This window comes from Homo sapiens, chromosome 9 (assembly GCF_000001405.40).
Source record: "Homo sapiens chromosome 9, GRCh38.p14 Primary Assembly".
NCBI lineage: Eukaryota > Metazoa > Chordata > Mammalia > Primates > Hominidae > Homo > Homo sapiens.
Window position 1 is genome coordinate 117,248,522 of NC_000009.12, and position 21,705 is coordinate 117,270,226.

Here is a 21,705-nt window from a genome sequence, read left to right on the forward strand (position 1 = left end):
CAAGTGAGGCCATGGAGTTAGGTCAATCCTTAAGGGAATGGAAACCATGGTAACTTTCCAAATGTGTGCTCAGTGACTAGGCTGGAACCGCAATACTGTTGGACAATGACAAGACAGGTCTATGTCAGTGGCACCTTTCTAGAGACAGAAGCAAAGTCTGTAGTTTCTGCACAGTTTGTGCTATCATGTGTTTGATCAAAAAGCAGAAGGGTGGCATATAGTGCAAACCCCAAACACCCCATCTGGAAAAGGTAAAGGACATGTAGGAGATGGTGCCAATCATCTACTTTTAAATACAAGGTCAGAAACTCTCATGCCCTTTGTGCAACACCCAGTGTTGTGTTTCTCAGACTTCATCAAGGCTGGATGGACTATCGGGCTGCCTCACTGCTGATGATGAGGTTCGGGGCAAGTCTCTTCACTCTCCAGGCCTCAATTTCCACATATGTACAATGGGATGATTGAGCCAGTGGCTCTTTGTGCTCGCTTCTACCTTTGGCATGTGACAAGTCTTGCTTTCTAATAAATTTTTCAGTGAGTATTTAAAACACCTGTTCTCCTGAGCAACTCCTGTAAGTCACATTTGCAAGGGAAGGAAAGAACATAGCTGTGGCTTGATAACCCATAACTGCTGAAGTCGTATGAAGTTCTTCAAGTAGCTACTTGGAGAGAAGAAGAAAGAAAAACAAGGCAATAAACCCTAATGGAAAAGAAGGAAAAGAAAAGGATCCACGGGAAATCTGTTCTCCCCAGTCTTAAATCTCAAAGTCACGGTGAATGCTGGCAGCATCTCTCTGTCCTTTCTGTTTAATCTCACATCTTCCTCCCTGCAACCTGTCCTCTTTCCTTCCTCAATTGAGTACTTAAAAGTGAAGGCTTTATTTTCACTCTGATTCTCCTTTCACAGATTGTGCAAACTGGAAAACCATTTAAGATCATTTTGCCCAGAGGTTTTCAAACTTTATTTTGTAGCAGAACCCTTTGTTCAAATGAAATTTTACACTCAAAGGCCAACATATAAAATTTATAAAAGGAAAGTTCCTCTAAGCATGACGATCGAAGGCCATGCATGTGGTTCCTCTCTTCACCCACCACCTTCCCCCTGGTCTTGAGGCACCCCCACAGATCCCTCAGGTCCCAAGGAGCATGACATGAAAACCACTGACATTGTCTTTTTTTTTTTTAACTTTAAAGATGGAGAGGCTGAAATCCAGATTTAAGAGGGCACTTATTCAAGCCGTATTACTGGAAGTCAACAGAGTTGGAGCCAGAATTCAGGTCTCTGGGGTCCCAGGGTAACACCTATGCCCTTATCCTGTTGCCTTCTTTGTCCCAATCTGTTGAGACCTCAGTCTCAAGGGCCTTCTAAGTGGCATTCTCCCCAGAAAATGTCACCGCCTACTCATCTCCTCTCTCCCTTTCTTTAGAAACTCACTAACCGCCCACTCTGAGTGCTAGTTCTGCTGTTTGGAAGCACATGTATCAGCTTCACCTGATGTGGCAGACATATTCTCTAAGCCTGGGGCTTTTCCATTGCCCACTGCCCCCGCAGGGACTTCTTAATCCAGGTGGAATCAGAAGGCTTCTTATGAATTTCATTTCATTTCAACACACACACCCACACACCCACACCCATAGTCTTTAGTGATGCAGACATAGGAACTGGCAGAACCAGCAATGAATGTGCTAGGCATCAGAAGACTGGGTTTGAGTGCTGGTCCAATTCTTTTCAACCTCTTTGATCCTGTTAGACACATTTCTTTGCCCATTGAGGCCCCTGCCCTCCTACTTCACAAGTTAGTGTTGAAGATCAAATAAGATAATGAAGACAGAAGGACTGATAACCTATAAAGTAGTTTATACATGTAAGGAATGATTTTCTTTGGTAAATTTCTCATCATTTCCCTTGGGCAGGATAATTTTTATCAGTTAATCCCTAAAACCTATTTCCAATTATCTGTTAATTTATTAATGGATAGTTTTAGAAAAATATTTTTCTAACCATTATTTGATCTTGCCTTCTACCAAAACCATTCATTTATTAATTCATTAATTCCATAAACACCAATGAAGCACCTACTATTAGGTTGGTACAAAAGTAATCATGGCTTTTGCCATGACTTTAATGGCAAAAAACAGCAATTACTTTTGCACCAACCTAATATTTGCCAAAACACTGGCTCCATTGGTCTCATAAAGTCCAAGGTCTCATGAGAAACACAGATACTGTCATTCCTGTGGACAGTGCTTCAAATGGGGAAACACAGACTGAGAGAAGCATATGGGAGTGTGTACTCTAGCCTGGGGTGAAAGGTCCCCAAGGGCTTCTAGGAGGAAGTAATATCTCTGCTAATATCTGAAGGTTGAGTTGGAGTGATCTGATGAAGTGGGTGAGGATAAGACAGGAAAACCCTGAGTCACCCAGAAGAAGGGAAGAGCAGGTGGAACAAGGCTGCAAGTAGTTCAGAAGGGCTGAAGCAGGGAGGGCGTGGCCACAGGTGAGGCTGAATCAAGAACAAGAAGGAGTGGGAGCGCAAATGGTTCTATGAGTGAAGCTGAGGAGTCAGCACTATGACAGCATCCTCGCTTTGCAGAGGAGAAGCTGAGAACCACAGAGATGAAGTTACTTGCTCAAGGTCACAAATGGAAAGCAACAGAGATGGAAGGTCAATCCTCAGCTCTGTCCCTCTGCCTGGAGCCCTCTACTCAGATACCTCTGTGGCTTGTTCACTTCCTTATACCATTCATAACTTCAAACAAATGCTATTTTTTTTTTTTAGGTAATGCTTTGTGCGACACCCTTTAAAAAAATAGAACCACCTGTCATTCTCTATCCCATTACCCTACTTCATTTTTGTCTCATGATACTTATTATAAATATGGTAATTTAATATAATATAAATTTATCTATTTGTGCTTTGTCCTCTTCTTTGAAAAAAACATAAGCTTCATGAGGACAGGAATTTCATTCTATTCATGTTGTCTACCTGGTGATTATAACAGCACTGAGCACATGGCAGGAACTCAATAAACACTAAATGAATATGTACCTGAATAAATGAATTTCAACCTATCTAAAGCCCTTGCTATGATACTCAAGTTATATTTCTGTGAGTGATGGGGAGTTTCTAATCTTTTAGCTGCTATTAGCAGGAGAATAACATGATAGAATCTGGCTTTAGAAAGTTCACACTGGTAGCATTGTGAATGATGAATCAGAGAGAGGCAAACCTGGAGGCCAGGACAGTGAAAGGCATCAGTACTAATTCTTGCCAGGGAAGATGATAGTGTAAGATTGTCTACACTAGGTAGTCATAAGAGGGATGGAGAAGAGAGTCTTCTAAAAAGCCTGAAGCCTCAGGCAGACTATCAGCACAGGAATTGGGAGCTCACTAAGAGAAGAGGTCATAAAAGGAAAAACACATCTCCAAGGAGGCAAAACTGTTCTCATTTCTAAATATTATGCCCAAAAGTGGCTAGAATAGTCTGTCAAATTAAATTCCTTCAGAACAACCTCTGATAAAATTATATTCTCTATAGGTTGGAGAAGAGGTGTCTTTGGAAGACGATAAAGGAGATTTTTGCATTGCCTAATAATGATGGGGATGAATGTCTTAATCAAATGGAGATCAAGGCCAGGCTCATTTGATAAAGAGGCCAGTTTCTCTGAGAAGATAGAGCCTGAGCACCAAGGGACAGTAGGATGCCCCCGAAAGTGAATTCTTCCTCCTTGCTTTGTGCATATGCATGCTTATCTGTGGCCAGAACTCTGGAGGCAAAACTAAAAGGTGGTGGTTTCTGTTCTGACAAAGCCTGGACAGAAACTAAGAAGATGCTGCAAGTAACTAATTTGATTGCATCCATTCATTTCCCTCGTTCATTCATTTAATCAACCAGTCCACCAGGGGGTCTTCAGCTAATACTTGCTGATATTCTCAAAGTGCCAGACACGCACTACCACCAAGGACAGAGCAAGAAACAGGACAGATCCAGGCTCTGTCCACATGGTGCTAATGGCCCAGTGTCTCCCAACTATGTTCTTTGCACAAGGTCATTAAATTAAAAAAACAAATCGTTATGTTGTTAGAGTGTTTTATATTTGCCAGGGACTAGATATGTCTTGTACTATTTAATCAGCAATTCTATGAGGCAGTTATCATCACCCTCATTTGTCAAATAAAGAAGCTGAAGCTCAGTGAGGTTTAGGAATTTGCAGAATGATGCAGCCTGAGATGTGGGAACATGTATTTAAACCCACGTCAAGATTTTGCCAAAGCCCTTTTTCCATTCTCTGCAGCCTCTTACCTTTGCAGAAATTGGGCTCCAAAGTCAGATAACCTTGGAGTGAATCCTGGCTTCACAAGAATGTGCACTTCAGATGGTGCCTGGCTCTCAGTAAGTGCTATACTATGTTATATGTTGTTGTTGCTGTTATTACTAATTAGGCAAGCTCTTCATCTCAGAGTCATAGCATCCTCTGTGAAATGGGACCACTAATGCATTATGGAATTTTGATGAGAATTATGAAGATTTAAATAGATGATGTAGATTGTGTCCATTTTCCTGTCTGATATATTGGGCAGTCATTGGTGGCAAGGTCAGAGCCCCTGGTCATACCATGACTGAGAGGCATGACTGCATCTCTGGAGGCCTGGTCCCAGGAGAGATCCCTTGATAAGGCTTTTCTTCCTCTCCACACCTGGGTCCATTTGTTCAAAGGGGCTACAGTGATCTCCCAGATCTGTTCTTATATCTCTTGTTTCTCTTCAGCATGGGGAGTAAAGCAGAGGAGCAAAGGAGGTGCTGGGTCATGAGGCCAAGAATAGCAATGCCCTCTGGAATGCCCTGAGGCAAACAGAGCTCCAGGCTAGGGACCAATCCCAGAGACATTTCCTTGGCCACCACCAAGGCTGTCTTCCTCCTACTGGAAAGCTTCCCCAAGATAAAAAACGAGCTGGTATGGCAGGAATCCAGCAACTCTAGTGGAGCTGGACATTGTGACAAAAGCAAGGGAGGGACATCCATTTAGTGAGGACTTTCTGTGCCGGGCCTTTGCCTCCTTCTTTGCCTGTCCCCACCATTCTTATTCTCATCACATCTCTAAAACAAGCAGGGATTACCTGCTCCATTTAAGAACAAGGAAATGGAAGCCAGAGAATTACAGCAGTTGCCGGCAGTCGCTGTCCCTCTGACCAGGCAATATCTGATGGTGTCAAAGCATCCATGAAACAGGAGCTGGGGCAGAATTGTGGGGAGGATGGGCCTACGATAACCTCTTGTCCTAGAATGAAGCTGAGGTCAGCCTCAGGACTACTGGCCTCGGAAATGCAGTAGCCTGAGCAGCTCCTATGCCTTATTTCTTCCACCCCATTTTGGCCACACACCCAGAGGTTCTTATCTGCATGAAGTGCCAGCACCAGGAAGCCTTTCTGAGTCTGAACGCTCACAGGCCTGCCTACCTCCCCAGCCCTGAACAGCATCCCGACAGGCTGGGAGAGCTTGGAACTCTGGAGTCTGGCAGGGGAGGTGAAGGTGAAGGTTCCAACGCCAGCTTTGCTTTTACTGAGATTTACTTCCTTGGGCAAATGACTCCAACTATGCGAGCCTCAGATTTTTCCATCTGTCAAATGGGGCCAATAATAGGTACCATAGAATGATGGTATGAGAAATAAATGATAAGATGTATTGAAGCACATGGTGAGCATTCACTAAATGATGGTCATAGAGTCAAAATGATAAAGGCTATCATTTATTGAGGATTTACTACCTGCCAGACCCAGTTCTAAATGTTTGTGTAGTGATTAATATCCTTAAGTAGCATTTATCATTATTATTGATACATTTTCTTAAATTCAACATACGTTTCATCTACCACACTTCTGTAAAGACTACTACAACCCAACCCAGGGTTTCCTTGGCAATTTGATTTGACCAACAGCTCCTGAGCACCTCTGAAGGGTGAGACCCAGGGTTAGACAATGGTGAGACACAAATGGGGATCGTTTATGGTTTCTGCTGTGGGTAGGAAGCTTAGTGTCAACTTAAGCAATAAAACAGGGGCACAGTTGACTACCATAACATAAAGCAGTGGCATTTAAATTATGTCCCATTGGGGCCCACAATAATAAATACAGACAGTTGTATATATGTGTATATATGTATGTAATTAACTAAAATTTTTTCACATCAAAAAATACTAGATGTGAGTCAAGGTGTTCCATTCTGGTTTATTCTATTTTGGTACATTCTGTTCCATTCCACTCTATTCCATATCACTGTCTATTCTGTTCGATTACACATTTTATTCTATTCAGTCCTTTCTGTTCCTTTCCATTCCATTCTATTTTTTATGCCCTCTTCTATTTTTCTTAAAAAGGCTTGCTGTGAGCCAGTAAATATTTCAGGACTTATTAAATTGTTTCAACCCATCTTTCAAAAAGTACTGATATAAAGAAGCTGTTTTCCAGTTAGTTGCAGCGAAGAACATCTAAATTAAATCCTACCTAATCCTAGTATATGAAACACAAATAATCACAGTTCTTCTGGCTGAAGAGGTGTTGGGGGTCCAGAACCAACTGTTTGGTGACTTATTCCATTCTGGGCATCCAGAAATCAGTGAGGACTATTTAGAGTTGACATTAATTATAAACAGCCCCCTCTGGACTTCCAGAGAGAGTGCTTCAGAGAAAGGATGGAAGGGAGATCATTTAAATTTGTAATGCATTCTGTATATTTATCGGATGCCTACTGTATGTCAGGTCTTGAACTAGGGCTGAGATACGGCAGCAAACAAGATGCATTTCACCCTCATTAAGGGGATACTGAATGCCTACCATGTGCTAAAGCACCTTACACACAGAAGCACTTTTAACCCACACTGTTCCCTTGGGAGATTATTTGTGTTACACCCATTTTACAGATAAAGAAACAGGCTCACAAATAGCCTAAGGTCATACATTGATGAATGTTAGAGCTGTGATGTAAACTTGGGTTGATTAAACTGCAGGTTCTTTACTTCTAACTGGGACAATATTCGAAAGGCTCAGAGAGGAGGTGGTTTCTGAGATGAATCTACCTGTAGAGGTGAAGGAGAGTCTTCCCCCCATCCCTCAAGAAACAGAATGGTGTGAGAAAAGTACAGAAAGAAGATTGAGGATGAAACAAATGCCGGGAGAACACGGAGGAGACATATTTGGCTGGAACACAGAATGTATGACAAAGAGAATTGCAATGGCTATTGCAAGCGATGCAGAACACAGGGAGGGGAGGAGGAAGAAGGCTCAGCTCTCTCTAGAGAAGCTTTCTAGAAGCCACCGGGGCAAGTACCACAATGAAGGGCATGTTGGACAGGTCTCTGTTGGAAATGGAGCATCAACTTCAATGTGGAAAGGTACAACTTATGGCAGGAAAACTTACTTCTTTGAAAGCACACATCTAGAGATAATCATCTATCCAAGGGAAAAGCAAATTTGGTCTGAATGAAAATGATGTCCACAAGAATAAAATCCTTTCACTTGGATCACTAACAAAACACTGCCTCGTTTTCAATGCATTTGAGGCTCACACCAAGCCTGCAAGTTTGGCAGGGCAGAGATGACTGTTTTCTCTGTTTGATGATGCGGAATGGGGAGTGGGAAGGAGTTGCAGAGCTCAACTCATGTTCAGCCTCACCCAGGACTCGCCTTATACCCTGTGCTTCCTCCTCCTATGCTTTCCAGAGAACCTGCTCCTCTTTTGTTCAGAGGCTGCTGGGAAAGTAGGGTAGCACATACACTAAATGCTGGAATCCTGGGGCATCTGCAGCTGGTGCAGTCCTCAGAAATGCCACTCTGAGGGTGGACAGAGAATAAAGGGACCTAGTGTTTATCAGATTTTACTATATCTCACACATATTGGATAATGCTTCCTATCATGGAACGTTATCATTGGTTAGGCACTAAGGTTCCCATCTTAAAGGTAAAGCAAGTGAGGCTTAGAGAGATTAAAACAGTTGCCAAGATCATACAATCAATGACTAGAAGAGGCTGGACTTGAACTTAGGTTTGTTTATAAGCCCATGTTCATTTCACCATATCATGATGTCCCTTGATGTAAGATCAAATAATGGAAAATCTAGACTACGTTATAGTAGCATAAATAAGAATACGGAAAAGGGAAAGAAGAAGAAATAAAGGAGGAAAAAGAGAAATTATTACCATTCTTTATCCCATGACTACTACAATTCCCCTACTACTATTATAACTCAGACCCTCTCACCTTCTAAATTAGTTTTTCATTCAACAGCATATTTGATTCTCACAAGAATGCTGCAAAGGACAGAGGACCCACTATTTTCTATGCATTTAAGAGATGGGGAAACTGAAGTTCAGAGAGGTTAAGAAATTGTTAAAGACACAGATAGTCAGTTAAAAACCTGGAATAAAATTTGATCCAAAAGATGTTTAGCTGGAAAAAAAAAAGGAGACAGAAGAAGACTTGGAATATTTGAAAGCATTCTTTGAAATATTTTTGTAGCACAACTTATAGAAAAAAACCTCCACATTTTTCTATGGGACTCAGTGCACATACACACAAAGATACACAAGCATCAAACGTTTCAGAAACAAACTTGTCCTTACTTTCTCTATTTTGTTCTATTCTATTTCCATTTGATTTTGATGAAGAAAATGCTGGTCCTGATTCATTAAATGGATTTACTATCTTACTAATGGGTCTAAAAGGACTAGAGTTTGGGGAACAGGGACACACTGACTTCGGGGCTGCATGAAAGCTAGCTTAAAGGATCCAAAGAACTCCAACATGGAAGGAAAAGTAGATTCATGATCCAGCGCTAGAGATGACACAACTATGACCAAAGAGTAGAAACTGTGAACACAGATTTTAGGTCAATCTGGAGAGGTCTTTCTAAATAGGCAAATCTGTTCAAAAATAGAAAGATTGCCCTGTGAAGTGGTGAGCTCCCTGGCACTAGAGCCATGCAAGCTGAAGCTTAAAGATCTCTTGACAGGGCTGCTGTAGAAGAAATTGAAGGTGACCTCTAGGTTTCTTTCTAGGCCAGAAACATTATTTAATGTATTTTTCTCATTTTCTCCCCAGGACAGCAGCCACCACAGAAAATTTTGGCTTTGAAGTGAGAATCAGAGGACACAGAGGAAAAATAGAGATGCTGAATGTTGGTTCCACTGTCAAGCTGGGGAAATGATATATACCTCTCTCCATTCCCACAACATAGGAGAAATGAGGGGCAAAACAGCATTCCAGGAGTGGACTAAATGTATAAAAGAAGAGCAAAGGAAATCGGAGAAAAGAAGAGATTTGTTGTAGTCATTGCTCTGCCCTCTTTTCCATTGTGGGACAAAGGGCCAGCCTCAGTTTTCCCACCTATACAGTGGGGATACTGTTGGACTACATCTGCAAGGATGATTTCAGTTTTCAGGTTATAGGTTTTTTTGTTGTTGTTTTATTCCTGGGTCCCCTTGTCACTGCTCAAGATGCCAGCTTGGCAGCTGAGGCCAGTAAAAAGAAGAGTAGGGAGTGGTTTAGTCTCTCCATTGGAAGGAAGAAGGAAGGAACGATTGTGGCCCATCTCTATAGCCTTGTGCTGACTTAGAGTGTCTCATCCCATCAAACGCATGGGTCATGAAGTTCAATTCATTAATTTTGGTGGTGGAGGGAGGCTGACAGACTTGGTGCTGACATGAATAATGATGGGTCACCGGGAGAGGCCCCAGCAAAACCTGCAGCTTAATCAGACTCAGAGAGTCTCTGCGGGCATTAATGTAGGCCAAGTGCTTTCCAGCCAATCAGACCCCATTTCAATTTAATGTTGCAAATTGTTACCACGCAGCTCAGCCTCTCAACGCACAACTCAGACTCAAAAGTGGGTTACTCATCTGTTCCCTTTTCCTGTTCATTTGGAAACACCTCCCTGATTATTGTCTGTGTGACAGTTTGCAGCAAAGGAGGTGGATAAAGTATGGTGGCAAGAATTCACACCGGGTTATGTAAGGGGAGCGGGTGTCCCTGCTCCATCACTTTCTATTCACATTTCTAAAGCCATGCTTTGCTTGCTTGTAAAGGTCTGCTGTGTCTCCATCGCCTGCAGGATAAAATCCAAGCCTTTATCATCAAAATTCTTTAGCCTTACCACCCACAGTGCTTCCCCAGGCATTCTCTGCCACAGCCACAACAAACCACTTCCACTCCCTAAAACATGCTGTGCCCTTGCATCTTGAAGCCTCCTTGTGCTTGCATATGTTGTGCCCTCTGTCTGAAACGTCTGCCTTAGCTCCCCTCTGTTTTCTCTGCCTCACCTGTATTTTCCAGTGTCACCCCAGAAAAAGACACACCAAAGTAGTAGATCCTGAAGGGATAGGGATCGTCTATTTCACTTCTTGCCTAGAGTAGATATACAAAGGTAGAATAAATGAATGAAAGAATCAGTATATAACTTTGGCCAAGACATTTCAAGTTTCTGACTCTTCTTTTTCTTAGATACAAAATAATAAAAATAGCTCTTTCACAGATATTATTGTGGCCAGTGACGGAAGGCTTTTCAGCCCTTCCACCCTCCCAGTACCTCTGAGAGCCTTCTTTGGATGAAATTGTCCATGTAAGCTCCTGACCTCAAAAATGCTCCCCTTAGCTCCTGGGGCTTCACCTCTCTGTAGCTCAGGTTTCTCAGATGCAAAATGTGTGTACTGAAGCATGAATGGTTGGAAAGATTAAAAGCATGTATTCACTCATCCCTGCTTTCAGTATATACAACCAATGTATAAGCCAAAAATAAAATTCTAAGGCCCCCCTCAACCATCTGAATGGACCCCTCCTCTCGGCCAAGGGCATTTCAAAGTTAACCTGAAAAACTAGTTCAGGCCATGATGGGAAGGGGAGGTCAGACATACCTCATTATGCCCTCCTCCCTTTGGGAATTTGGGAAAAACCAACCAGCATTAACATCAGCACAGACCATAGATCTAATAAGAAACGTATACAATCTGTTTTCTCTGAAGCCTGCTACCTAGAGGCTTCATCTGCATTATAAAACCTTGGTCATCATAACCCAGACATTCTTTTCTATTAATAATAACTCTTTCAACCAATTGCCAATCAGAACATTTTAAAATCTACCTATGGCCTAGAAGTCCCTGCTTTGAGTTGTTCTGCCCTTCCAGATCAAACCAATGTACATCTTACATGTATTGATTGATGTATTATGTCTCCCTAAAATGTATAAAAGCAAACTGTACCCTGACCACTTCGGACACCTGTTGTTAGGAACCCCTGAGGCTGTGTCACAGGCATGTCCTTAACCTAGGCAAAATAAAGATTCTAAATTGATTGAGACCTGTCTCAAGTACTTTGAGGTTCACAGATGCAAATTATTAAAATGATGACTGTGAAAGTGACTTTAACAGAATAAGGTACAGAGTAAATGCTCAATAAAAGCTTTCTACCTCTTTAAAAATCTCATATCCTTTTTTACTTCCTGTCCTTCTTTCTTCTTGCTTTCCTTTCTTTTATCCCTTACTGGCCCTGTCATCTCCCTTTTTCCCCAAGGTGTGATTTTGGAATTCTCATGGGCTTGGGGAGAGGGGATCAGGTACAGCCTAACGTTGCCCCTAAAAACCCTGACACAACATCAAAGCTAGCCACCCCTTTAACAGAGCACATGAATGCAATGCACTAAGACCACAATGGCTTCACCTTCACCAACTGCTATATATACTGGACTTTGAGTTCCTTTGAGCAATCTGTCATGTGAACAGAGGGCAAAAGGGTTATTATTAATTAAGGGAACTGGGAACCACTGTTATTCTTCTTCTAAAGGTCTACCATCAAAAGTACATCTCACCGTTCCACTCTATCCTGGATAAATAAGTGCCAAGATTGAGGCAAGGTCTGAAGCAATGTGGTTTCAGTTCCCGTCCTCACTTCCTGGTAACAAACTTCATGTGCTTTAGTGCATACATAAATCCCCTAAAACTTATCAAAAACCATATACAATCAAGAATCGACAACCTACCAGCTGTCAACAACAGCAATGGTGTTGAGAAAAATCAAAAGGTCAGAAATTGTGATTTCTTTATGTGGTCTTTGAATGTAGTCACCAAGATGGGAAAGCTGAAAGGTCCAGATAGTTATACTGTGTAGGGAGTGGTAAGGGAGAAGTCACATCTCCTTACTATTAACTAACTGTGTGACCTGGAGCCATCTATTTCTCTCTGAACTTTAGCTTTCTCTGTTGTGGAATGAGTCTGGTTCAGTTTAACAAAACCCAATAGGCACATACCATGTACCTCCCAGGCATGAAGCTAGGCACAGACACATTGACAAATAATATATAGCTTAAATTGACGGGGAAGACTGAATTTGAAAGTACTCCATACAACTGAAAAGTATGCTACACAAATACTCCATAACTCTTTTGTGAAAGTGTGTATAAGTATGTATCTGTTTATGTAAACATGAATTATTCCAGTGAATAAATTGTAAAGTGAAGACATTATGCTCAGTACATGTATCTGATATAAATTAATCAATAGTCTTGCATGAATGAGATGTTATTAGAATAACACTAAAGACAGAGCAGTGAGCACAATGAATTCCCTGCTTTCATGAAGATCACATGGTAGTAATAAGAAAGTCACATTTGAGGGGATGAAAGACAACAGAAGATCCCTGGGCATTTTCACTCAGTTTTGGCAGCATAATTAGTGGGAAACCTTTGTTTACAAATAGAGACTAGGCAAGTTGAGGGTGTGTAATTCAGCAGAAATTGGGCCAAGAAGTAGGATGACCATGTGCTGATTCAGGACCTGACAGCACCATGCCTAGTAAATGCTTTAGGTGTTGCATAGGCAGCAGATCTGTTCAATCTGACCTGGATTTAAATAAGTTTACACAGCTTCAAAGCACTTGGAACGTCTGATTCCACTTTCATGGCTATGCTTGAATTCACCAGGTGTTATCTCTATCAGCAAATGTTTCTTCAATAAATGCCCAGCCAAGCCTCCTGCTTGAACACTGAAGTCTGAAACAAAAGAATGTTGAACTCCAAAGTCTGAAAAAAATTAATATCACACCATTTCTCTTAAAATGTCTCCCATGACTCTCTCCTCATTCTTACCTCTGCTTTCTATCTCCTCCACCATCTGTAGCCCTAAACTGTGCATTTGACTGGAAATGTATCACTCAAGGCACCTGTGGTGGAGTGAAATTGGTTAGGATTTCATGGTCCCATCCAATTTCAGCTAGCAGCAGGCAAGGAGGGGAAATATTCAGTTATGAGCAGTCTCATACCTTTTGCTTTTCTCAAAGCAAAGTTTGGGAAGAAGGATCTTTTACTGTTGTTGTTTCCACTAGAGAACTTTGTCCCTTTGGAATTATTTTGCCAAAGACTGTGATAGAATCTATTAAGAAGCATCTTTAAAACTATACTTATTGGGCAAGGAAGATAATACTCTTTATTTTAAAAAGGTATTATTTCAATTCTCTTTCTTTCTTTTTATCAGCATTATCCTAATGGCCTCTATCATTTAGGAATCAGAGAACGACATAAACAAAAGAGTAAATCTGAGCCTAGTAATTTCCAGGACTTCACCCAGGAATAGAGGATAAAATTTATACCATTAGCAGGGATCATCAATTTTTTTTGGTGGTACCAGAGTGTGGGTATACGGGAGAAAGGAGGAGGCCACACCATTACCATCACATGATCAAGACTGCAATTTGTTTTTCCTGTGGTTAGGCAGAGCCATAAGATACGGTACTCAAATGTAAGGATATGGAAAAACACTTTGTGGTTATTAATTTCATCTCCTACCTAATACTGAATATTCCCACCCAACACTGTGGTTGATATTCTGTTTCTTTTTTTATTTATTTATTTATTTATTTTTTATCTCCTTAGCATCCTTTCCCTCTTCATTTTTAATAAAGACCTAGTTTTCCTTTGAGAAACTAAATGATACCCCTTCAACACCCTCAATCCATGTAGTCTAGATCTGGCTGGCCTGAGTCTCAGTTCAGGAGTGGCCACCTAACCCAGAGTTGGCCAACTGGAGCATTGCAGTGAACTTTTTAGGGTTTGTATTAACAGCAGGAAGGATAATAACCCCCAAAGATGTCCAAGTCTTTATACTCAGAACCTGTGAATATGATAGGTTACACGGTGAGGGAGAATTAAGGTTGCAGATGGAATTCAAGTTGCAAATCAGCTGATCTTATCATGAGAGATTATCCTGGATTATCAAGAAGGACCTAATGTAATCATAGGGTCCTAGTAAATAAAAGAGGGGCGCAGAAGAGAAGGTGGGAGTGTTGTGGTGTGAGAAGAACTCGACCCCCTAGTATTGGCTTTGCAGATGGAGGAAGGGGGCCATGAGCCAAGGAATATGAGTGGCTTCCAGAAGCTGGAAAGGGCAGGAAATCATATTCTCCCCTAAAGTCTCTAAAGGGATCACATTGTTGCTGACACCTTGGTTTTAACCCAGTGAAACCCATTTTAAATTTCTAAACTACAGAACTGTAAGATACTAAATCTGTGTTGTTTCAAGCCTCTAAATTTGTAAAACTTTACAGCAATAGAAAACTACTGCAGGCATGGACACATGAGCAAATTATAGTTCGCCCAGATACTTTGGCTAAAAATAAGAAGGACTCCTTTTTTTCTCTCTTTTTCCCTAATGATACTAAATATAAAGTAATCTTATGACCGGGAGAGATTTTGCCCAAAAATGAAACCTACCCAGAGGAAACCAGAGTGAAGTATAACTTTGTGTGAACATTTTTATCTAACTATTCCTGAAATTAAAAGTAGATATTTCAGTTTCTGGGAGAAATAAAGGCCTTATTTGTCCTTTAGCCAGTTTGAGTTGGATTTATATCACCTGCAAATTCTTTAAAAAAATCCTACCACTGGCATGGTGGAATAAATACCATTTCTTGAAATATCTTATTCCAATGCTGGATACTTTTGCTATTATTTCTTTTAAAAATAGAACTGGAATTGGCTATCGTATAGCTTCAGTCATTGATTCTTACGTCCTGAGGCCACACAGGACAATTTTAACTCCTATTTCACCTTGGGAGATACTCGGGAATTGAAGTAGTGATCCTCATCAAGATCCTCAAATCTTCACTTCTCCAGGTTAAATCCTCTCAGTTTTTTCCAGAATTGTGGTAATATGGTTTTGAACCTTTTCACTACCCTGTGGTTAATCTTCCCTGGACACACTTGATGTTCACAACGTTTTTCTTAAAGATAACACTACAACTGAGCACAGTATTCAATGTAGTGACTATTCAAATCAGAACATCCTGTCCTCGGTGGGACACGTTTATTGATGAAATCTAAATTGAGGCTAGGCACAGTGGCTCATGCCTGGAATCCCAGCACATTGGGAGGCTGAGACAGGTGGATCACTTCAGCCCTGGAGTTCGAGACCAGCCTGGGCAACGCAGCGAAATCCCATCTCTACCAAAGATACAAAAATTAGCCAGGCTTATGACCTGGTCTCAAAATAAATAAATAAATATTTAAAAATAAAATTAAAAAAAGAAATCTAAATTGAAAAAAATACAGTTTATTTATGGTATCCACATAATACTGTTACTTCACTTAGTTTCTTGTCCAGTAAAATCTACAATTTTTTTTTCTAGGTGATACTGAGTTATTTCTCTGGTCCAATCTCTACATTTACCCCATTCGTAAAAATTATGTCTTGATGTACATAGAGATCTTTAGAGTTACATCTACTGAATTTCATTGCAAAGAGAAGTGGATAGTGAGTAAAATACAGGATTTGTATTCAGACAAGTCTGGATTCAAATTCTGGCTCTACCACTCATGGCTGCCTGATGTTGGGCAACTGCATAATTTCTCCAAATATTAGCTTCCTCGTGATAAATTACTGTGCCTTCCTCATACCACTGTTATAGAAATAAATAACATAATGCATGGAAAATGCTTGGTGTAGTGCCTGGCATGTACTAAGCTACCGAATATAGCACCGGTTTTATATTCAATCAGAAAAATAAATAGGTCAGAGCTTTCAATCTTACTTCCGAATATACAAGAGGAAAAGTTAGGGTGAGAGAGGAATAACAAAAGAGAAGGAGGGAGAAAATAAAAACACAACTGGTCTTCCCCATATTCTCGGCTTACATCCAAAGTCAAACACAGCTAGTCTTAGAAAACAAGATATCCAAACTTACTTAATACTGGAAGTGTTAGGCTTAACGTTTTTGTTTGCTTGTTTGCTTTTGAAAATGGGACCTGGTAGGTGGGAAGTAAAAACGTTCCCTTAGAACAAATTAGATAAATACAAAGAAATCACACACATAGTGGAGGAATGAAGATGTTTGTAAGTTGATATTTCGGAACCAAACTTCAGGAAGGACCTTGGCAACATCTAAGCTGAGATGTTTTCCTCCTATAAGTAAGAAATGTAGGCTCAGAGAATGAAAGCTTTTTTCTCTGTTTCAACTAGAAAATCTCACAGCTAGAAGAAGTCAAGGTCATTTTTCCCCTTCTGAGCCCAAAATCCCTGGTCAAAGGGGCCATAGAAGAAGTCTATTTAAGTTTGTCTTTCTCCAGAAGCAGTTCAGAAGATAGGAATTTGACTGTAAGTGGCTTACTTGGAAAGTGATTTCAGAAATAACTATTAGAGGAGTTAGGAAACAAGGCAGGGAAGAAAAAGAAGGCCATAAAGAATAGTTTATAAAGCCAGATGCCACTGTGGGCAACAGAAGGTGCATTGTGCTGGGGCATTCTGAGAACAACAGAAATGCCTCGGAGATAGCCCACTGGAGTGGCAAGGGAGGTGAGGCATCTGTTAACCAACTCCCAACAATCAGCAGTTAAGGACTGTGCTTGAAGGTCCAGTGATTCCCGGCACTGCAGCCTTCCCCAGGCATGGGCAGAGGGGTACCGAGCTGCCAAAGAACCTCTAGCCAAAGAGTCACATGTGCTGGCAACTGAAAGTCAAGCCAGCATTCATGGAGAGGGTCAGTGTTGAGGGCATGTGGGCTGGACACCAAGAGTGTCTGCTATAAAATCCAAGTGGAAATGAGACAGAATCTCCAATCCGGCCTAAATCTGCCAACCAGCAATCAACAAACTCACCAACCAATTAAGAAATAATTACAGCTACTAGCTGTGCTGATATTCTAATATGTTAAAGATACAGAAAGAACATTCAAGTGCTTTATCACTCCACTGATGCAAGTAGTCACATCACTACACAATGGTTCCTCAGAATCAGAAAAAATTGAAAGCAAAATGGTAAAAAAAAAAAAAAATCTCCTAATATTTTAGTGGATAAGAGGTGGGATTATCGAATACCCTTAGGCCATAAAGAATAGTTTATAAAGCCAGATGCCATGTTAACTCTTGAATGCTAATTCCTTTCTGGAATATTTCCTATAAAACTTAATCCTTCAGGAACCATCTAAAAGGCCATCTCTTCCATAAGATTTGCTCTAGTGGTAAAATGAGCTAATCTGCTAGGCTTAACTCCCTGTGACCTACCCAGATCCCTAGGTTGTGCCAGACAGATGCAGTTTATACACATTCCTGCACTTCCTCATCCTTGAGCTTCAAATCAGACAGGTTTTATAATTAAGATATTGTAGAACCTCACTAAGGATTCAAGCTGCTCTAAATGACTGCCCAAAGCTAAGGGCACAGCCAAGGGAAACATCTATAACTCCCTCCCTCCCTAAATGCCATGGGATCCAGTAATAAGCACGCCTACAAAGCAAAAAGGAAGCACACATGCAACAGAAACTCACAAACACACACACACAAAAACATACAAACAATCTGGTTACAAAATATATCTTCACCAGCTTCTACAACTAGTTGTATTTTAAGATGAAATATGAAAAAAAAAATTGGCAAGTTAGGTGTTACTGCTCCATGCTGACCTTTTCCTAGTAGAGTTAAAAGAGCCACCATCAACATTAGAATGCGAAGGTTACTGACAGTGCCATGGAGATGCCAACTTGAAAGTCCCCATCTCAGAAAAAGACCAGCAAGGCTGCTGAGCATGGTACGTCCCTTTTCTCCTAGATAACTACACTGACCCATGTCTACCACCTGCAAAAAAATAAGTTGCCTTTAATAAGTGTGCATTTTTTCTCCTTCCTTTCATATTTTTTGTAATTATTATTTTCGTTTTGCTTTAAAAATCACTTTTCTCCACTAGGGTAATAAATCACTGAAGACAAGATCAACTGATGAATAATAAAATTAGTGGGTATAAACTTTTTAGAGAAACAAGATATTTGTAGAGCCTCAAATTATCTCCCCCAAATGCTTGTTAATTGCTTTAGTGGTCTCAACAAATGTTCACAAATTATTTGAAGCTTTCCTTCTAGGAGGTGGATCTTAATCCCCCTCTTCTTGAGCGTATGCTGGATTTAGTAATTTGTTTCTAAATAATAGAGTGTGGAAAGAGAGAAACAGTAACTTGAGAGTGGAGAAACCTGGCAGCCACCACCTTGTACAAGTCATCAAGTACATAATTAGTCGGTTGATACCATGTACCAGGATGGAATGAGAAGAGCACTTCATCTTTGTGGCATTCTTTGTCCAAATCTGGAGACCCTAAACTAATTCCAAAAATAAAAATAAAAATCAGACAAACCCATATGGAGGGACATCCTACAAAATACCTGACCAGTGATCTTCAAAGGTGTCATGATATTAAACAAAGAAAGGCTGAGGAGGAGGAGACCATGGAGACATGAGAGCTAAATATGGTATCCTGGATTGGATCCTAGTACAGTAAAAGGGCATCAGTGGAGAAACTGGGGAAATAATAGCAAGGTCTTTAGTTAATAGTGTTGCACCCTGGGATCACTTGGTTTAATCTCATCACATTAGAGACAGGGGAAAGCTCAGAAAGAAGAGACTTGACCACAGACACTCAGCAGTTCATTTCTTGTTAATATCTCAGTACATACACATATACTATGTTTATGAAAGATATTAACACTAGGGGAGGCTAGGTAAAGAGTATTTGGGAATTCTCTGTGCCATCTTTGCAAAGTTTCTGCAAATCTAAAATTATTTCCAAGTAAAAAATCTTAAAAAATGCAAAAACAAATAAACATCAACAAAAAAATTCCTCCTCCCAATGGTGTGGTTACAAGCCTTGGAATGGGGCACCTAAGAGCTGGCTCCTGACTTCAGCTCACTCTCTGACTTTGTTGATACCTTTGCCTCTCAGGGCGCAGTTTCTCCAACAGTTTCATGATGTTTCATGATGAGGGGAGGAGCGGGGAGTGATTTAGTAGTTTTCAAGCCATGTTCCCCAGGGCACAGCTTTGATGGTATGTGGGGTGAACTGAGAAACTGAAGTCCTGCTCCTGCAACTCCTCCGAACCTCCAGCCAGAGCAGACCCACTTTGTTGTTACATATCAGGTGTCTATGTGGACATAAACAATGCCAATCATTGCATTTCATTTGATGAATGTGTTTCATTTGATAAATAGTTTCTGCTGTAAAATGTTAAAAAGCACTGGAATAGATTATAAATGTGGTTCCCTTCTAAACTTACTTTCATTACCACCCTGCCAAGTCTTTCCTGAATTAACTGAGAATGACTTAAACACACTGTTATTTTCCTCTTTCCCTCTCTTGTCCATTAGCTTTCTGTGGGTAAAAGCCATGTATGTCCACCTGCGTTCATCAGTCCCCAGCCCTTGTCATGAAACAGTGGTCGATATCAGGTGAATTAATGTTGGATGGAATTCCTGGAGTCAAATAACCTCTTGGAAAATAAGAGGGTATGGGATAAATCCCTGACCCCAGGGACTTACCAGCATCATCTTCTGGGAAAAAGATCTTAACTAAGAGGGAGCAGTTGTAAATTATTGACTGAAGTTCAAATCCAAGGCCTGAACCAACGTTTTCTTCCTCCAGGAGGCTTTCCTTAATCACTCTGGCTAGAAGTATACTTTTTCTCCTCTGTGTTCCCACCGTCTAAGGTCTGTGCTTCTGATACAGTGCCATCTTGTATTCCCTGAATACATGACTCAGGACCCTGACCCAAAAGTATGAAAACCTTCATCTGGGAATAAAGATTAAGTGCTTAACACAAGACCTTGTGCATATAAGATGTTCCAGAAGGTTGAAGAAGCAAATGAACAAGCTCCAGGTCCCTTGTTTCAAGCGGGTCAAAACAAAGCTCTGACAGATCGGGGTTTGAAATCTAACTCTGCCAGTTCCTACAATGTGACATTAGACAAGCTGTAATGTCTCTGGGGCCCCAGTCTCAAGTCTGTCACTCTAGTTAATACTGCTAATAAACTCTGTTGACCAAATCACAATTCCAGGGGTCTAACAAAAAACTTGACACATGCTGAGCGGGTTGTTCAAGAAATATTAGTTGAATAACTAAATTGTGACCTTTCAGCTTCCTTACCCGTAAAATAGCAATACGAATACCTACTTCGCATGGCTGTGGTGAATTAAGTAGCAGAGCATAAGACAAGCAATCAGCACAATGCCTAGTGCATGACAATGGCTCAATAAATGTTTGTTTTTCTTCTAGTCTTTTCCCATCAGGTATTCTCGCCAGTGAGGGGACTGACTTAAGTACTTCTCCCAGCCATGTGTTTCATTATGGAGGCCAAATTAAGAATCCAAGGTGCTTACATTTCAGCAAAAGACGCTAGACCACGGAGTGTGGCATGGGGTGTAATGTATTCACAGTAGCTATGCTAAGAAAACATCTAGGCCCCCAGTTGAGAGACTATGGCAGCATCATTAGCATAACAGGTGCCTTTGCTAGAAGAATGACACTTTAAAGACAAATTTCCCCCAATGCATTTCCCCAAACGCAAGAGTGCATATTTAATTACACTTAATGCCATCTTCTCCTCTATTTCTGCGCTTGAAGGGGACACATCACCCCACAAAATTGGGGAGGTTTTTTATAGAAATGGCTAGGATCCAGAACTGCTTCTTAGCTCCAGGGCCCAAAGGAAAAATGTCAACAATGGTGCTTCGGGGAAGGAAACATGGGCCTTATTTGTTTGCTTGAAGAACATCCAGCTGAGACAGAAAATGATGGAAAGAGCAGAACACACTGGGACCTACGAGAGCTGAGGTTCAGCGTGGGCAAGGCCCCGTGCGAATCATCATCACAGATTATTTTTAATGCTCACAGCAAACAAAATGGTGTAAGTCTAGCCATCATTCTAATTTGCATACAAGGAAACTGAGGTTTAGCAGATATGAATAGTTTTTCCAAGGTTGCATAGCTAGTGATTGAGGCACTTAAAGTTGAACCAAGGCCCATGATTTTTTTCCTCTTTATCTACTGTCCCAATGGTTTCACTTTTGGGGCACATACTCTGCAAGAGGCACTGTGCCACAAATTTCATATACATCTTATCTCACTGAATCCACATGCCCATTGGATAGTATTTTTCCTATTTTACAGAAAAGAAAGCCGTGGCTCAAAAAGTGAATTAATTTGCCCTAAATCACAAGTAGAGGTAATAGGAAATTTGGGATTTAAACCCAAATTTGTCCACCTTTTATCCTCAGTGTCACATTACTAGCTGTGCGAGTTTGAAGGAGTAAATTTTCATCTCTGGGTATTAGTTTTTCTTGTTTAAAAAAATACTTTTTATGGTGGTAAGAAAACTTAACATGAGATCATGAGATATACTCTCTTTACAAATGT

At 40.8% G+C, this 21,705-nt stretch overlaps 1 protein-coding gene across 3 annotated transcripts in view, besides 1 other annotated feature; it reads right to left on the reverse strand.

The window, feature by feature from the left end:
- ASTN2 (astrotactin 2) overlaps positions 1-21,705 on the reverse strand; it is a 991,946-nt gene that overhangs the window by 825,410 nt on the left and 144,831 nt on the right. The window lies entirely within an intron of this gene.
- Positions 20,295-20,943: an enhancer, noted in NCBI's record as "OCT4-NANOG hESC enhancer chr9:120031095-120031743 (GRCh37/hg19 assembly coordinates)". NCBI's record gives its function as "activates a minimal SCP1, AML or CMV promoter by ChIP-STARR-seq in naive H9 embryonic stem cells {active_cell/tissue: H9 hESC(naive)}" and the evidence as "EXISTENCE:reporter gene assay evidence [ECO:0000049][PMID:30033119]".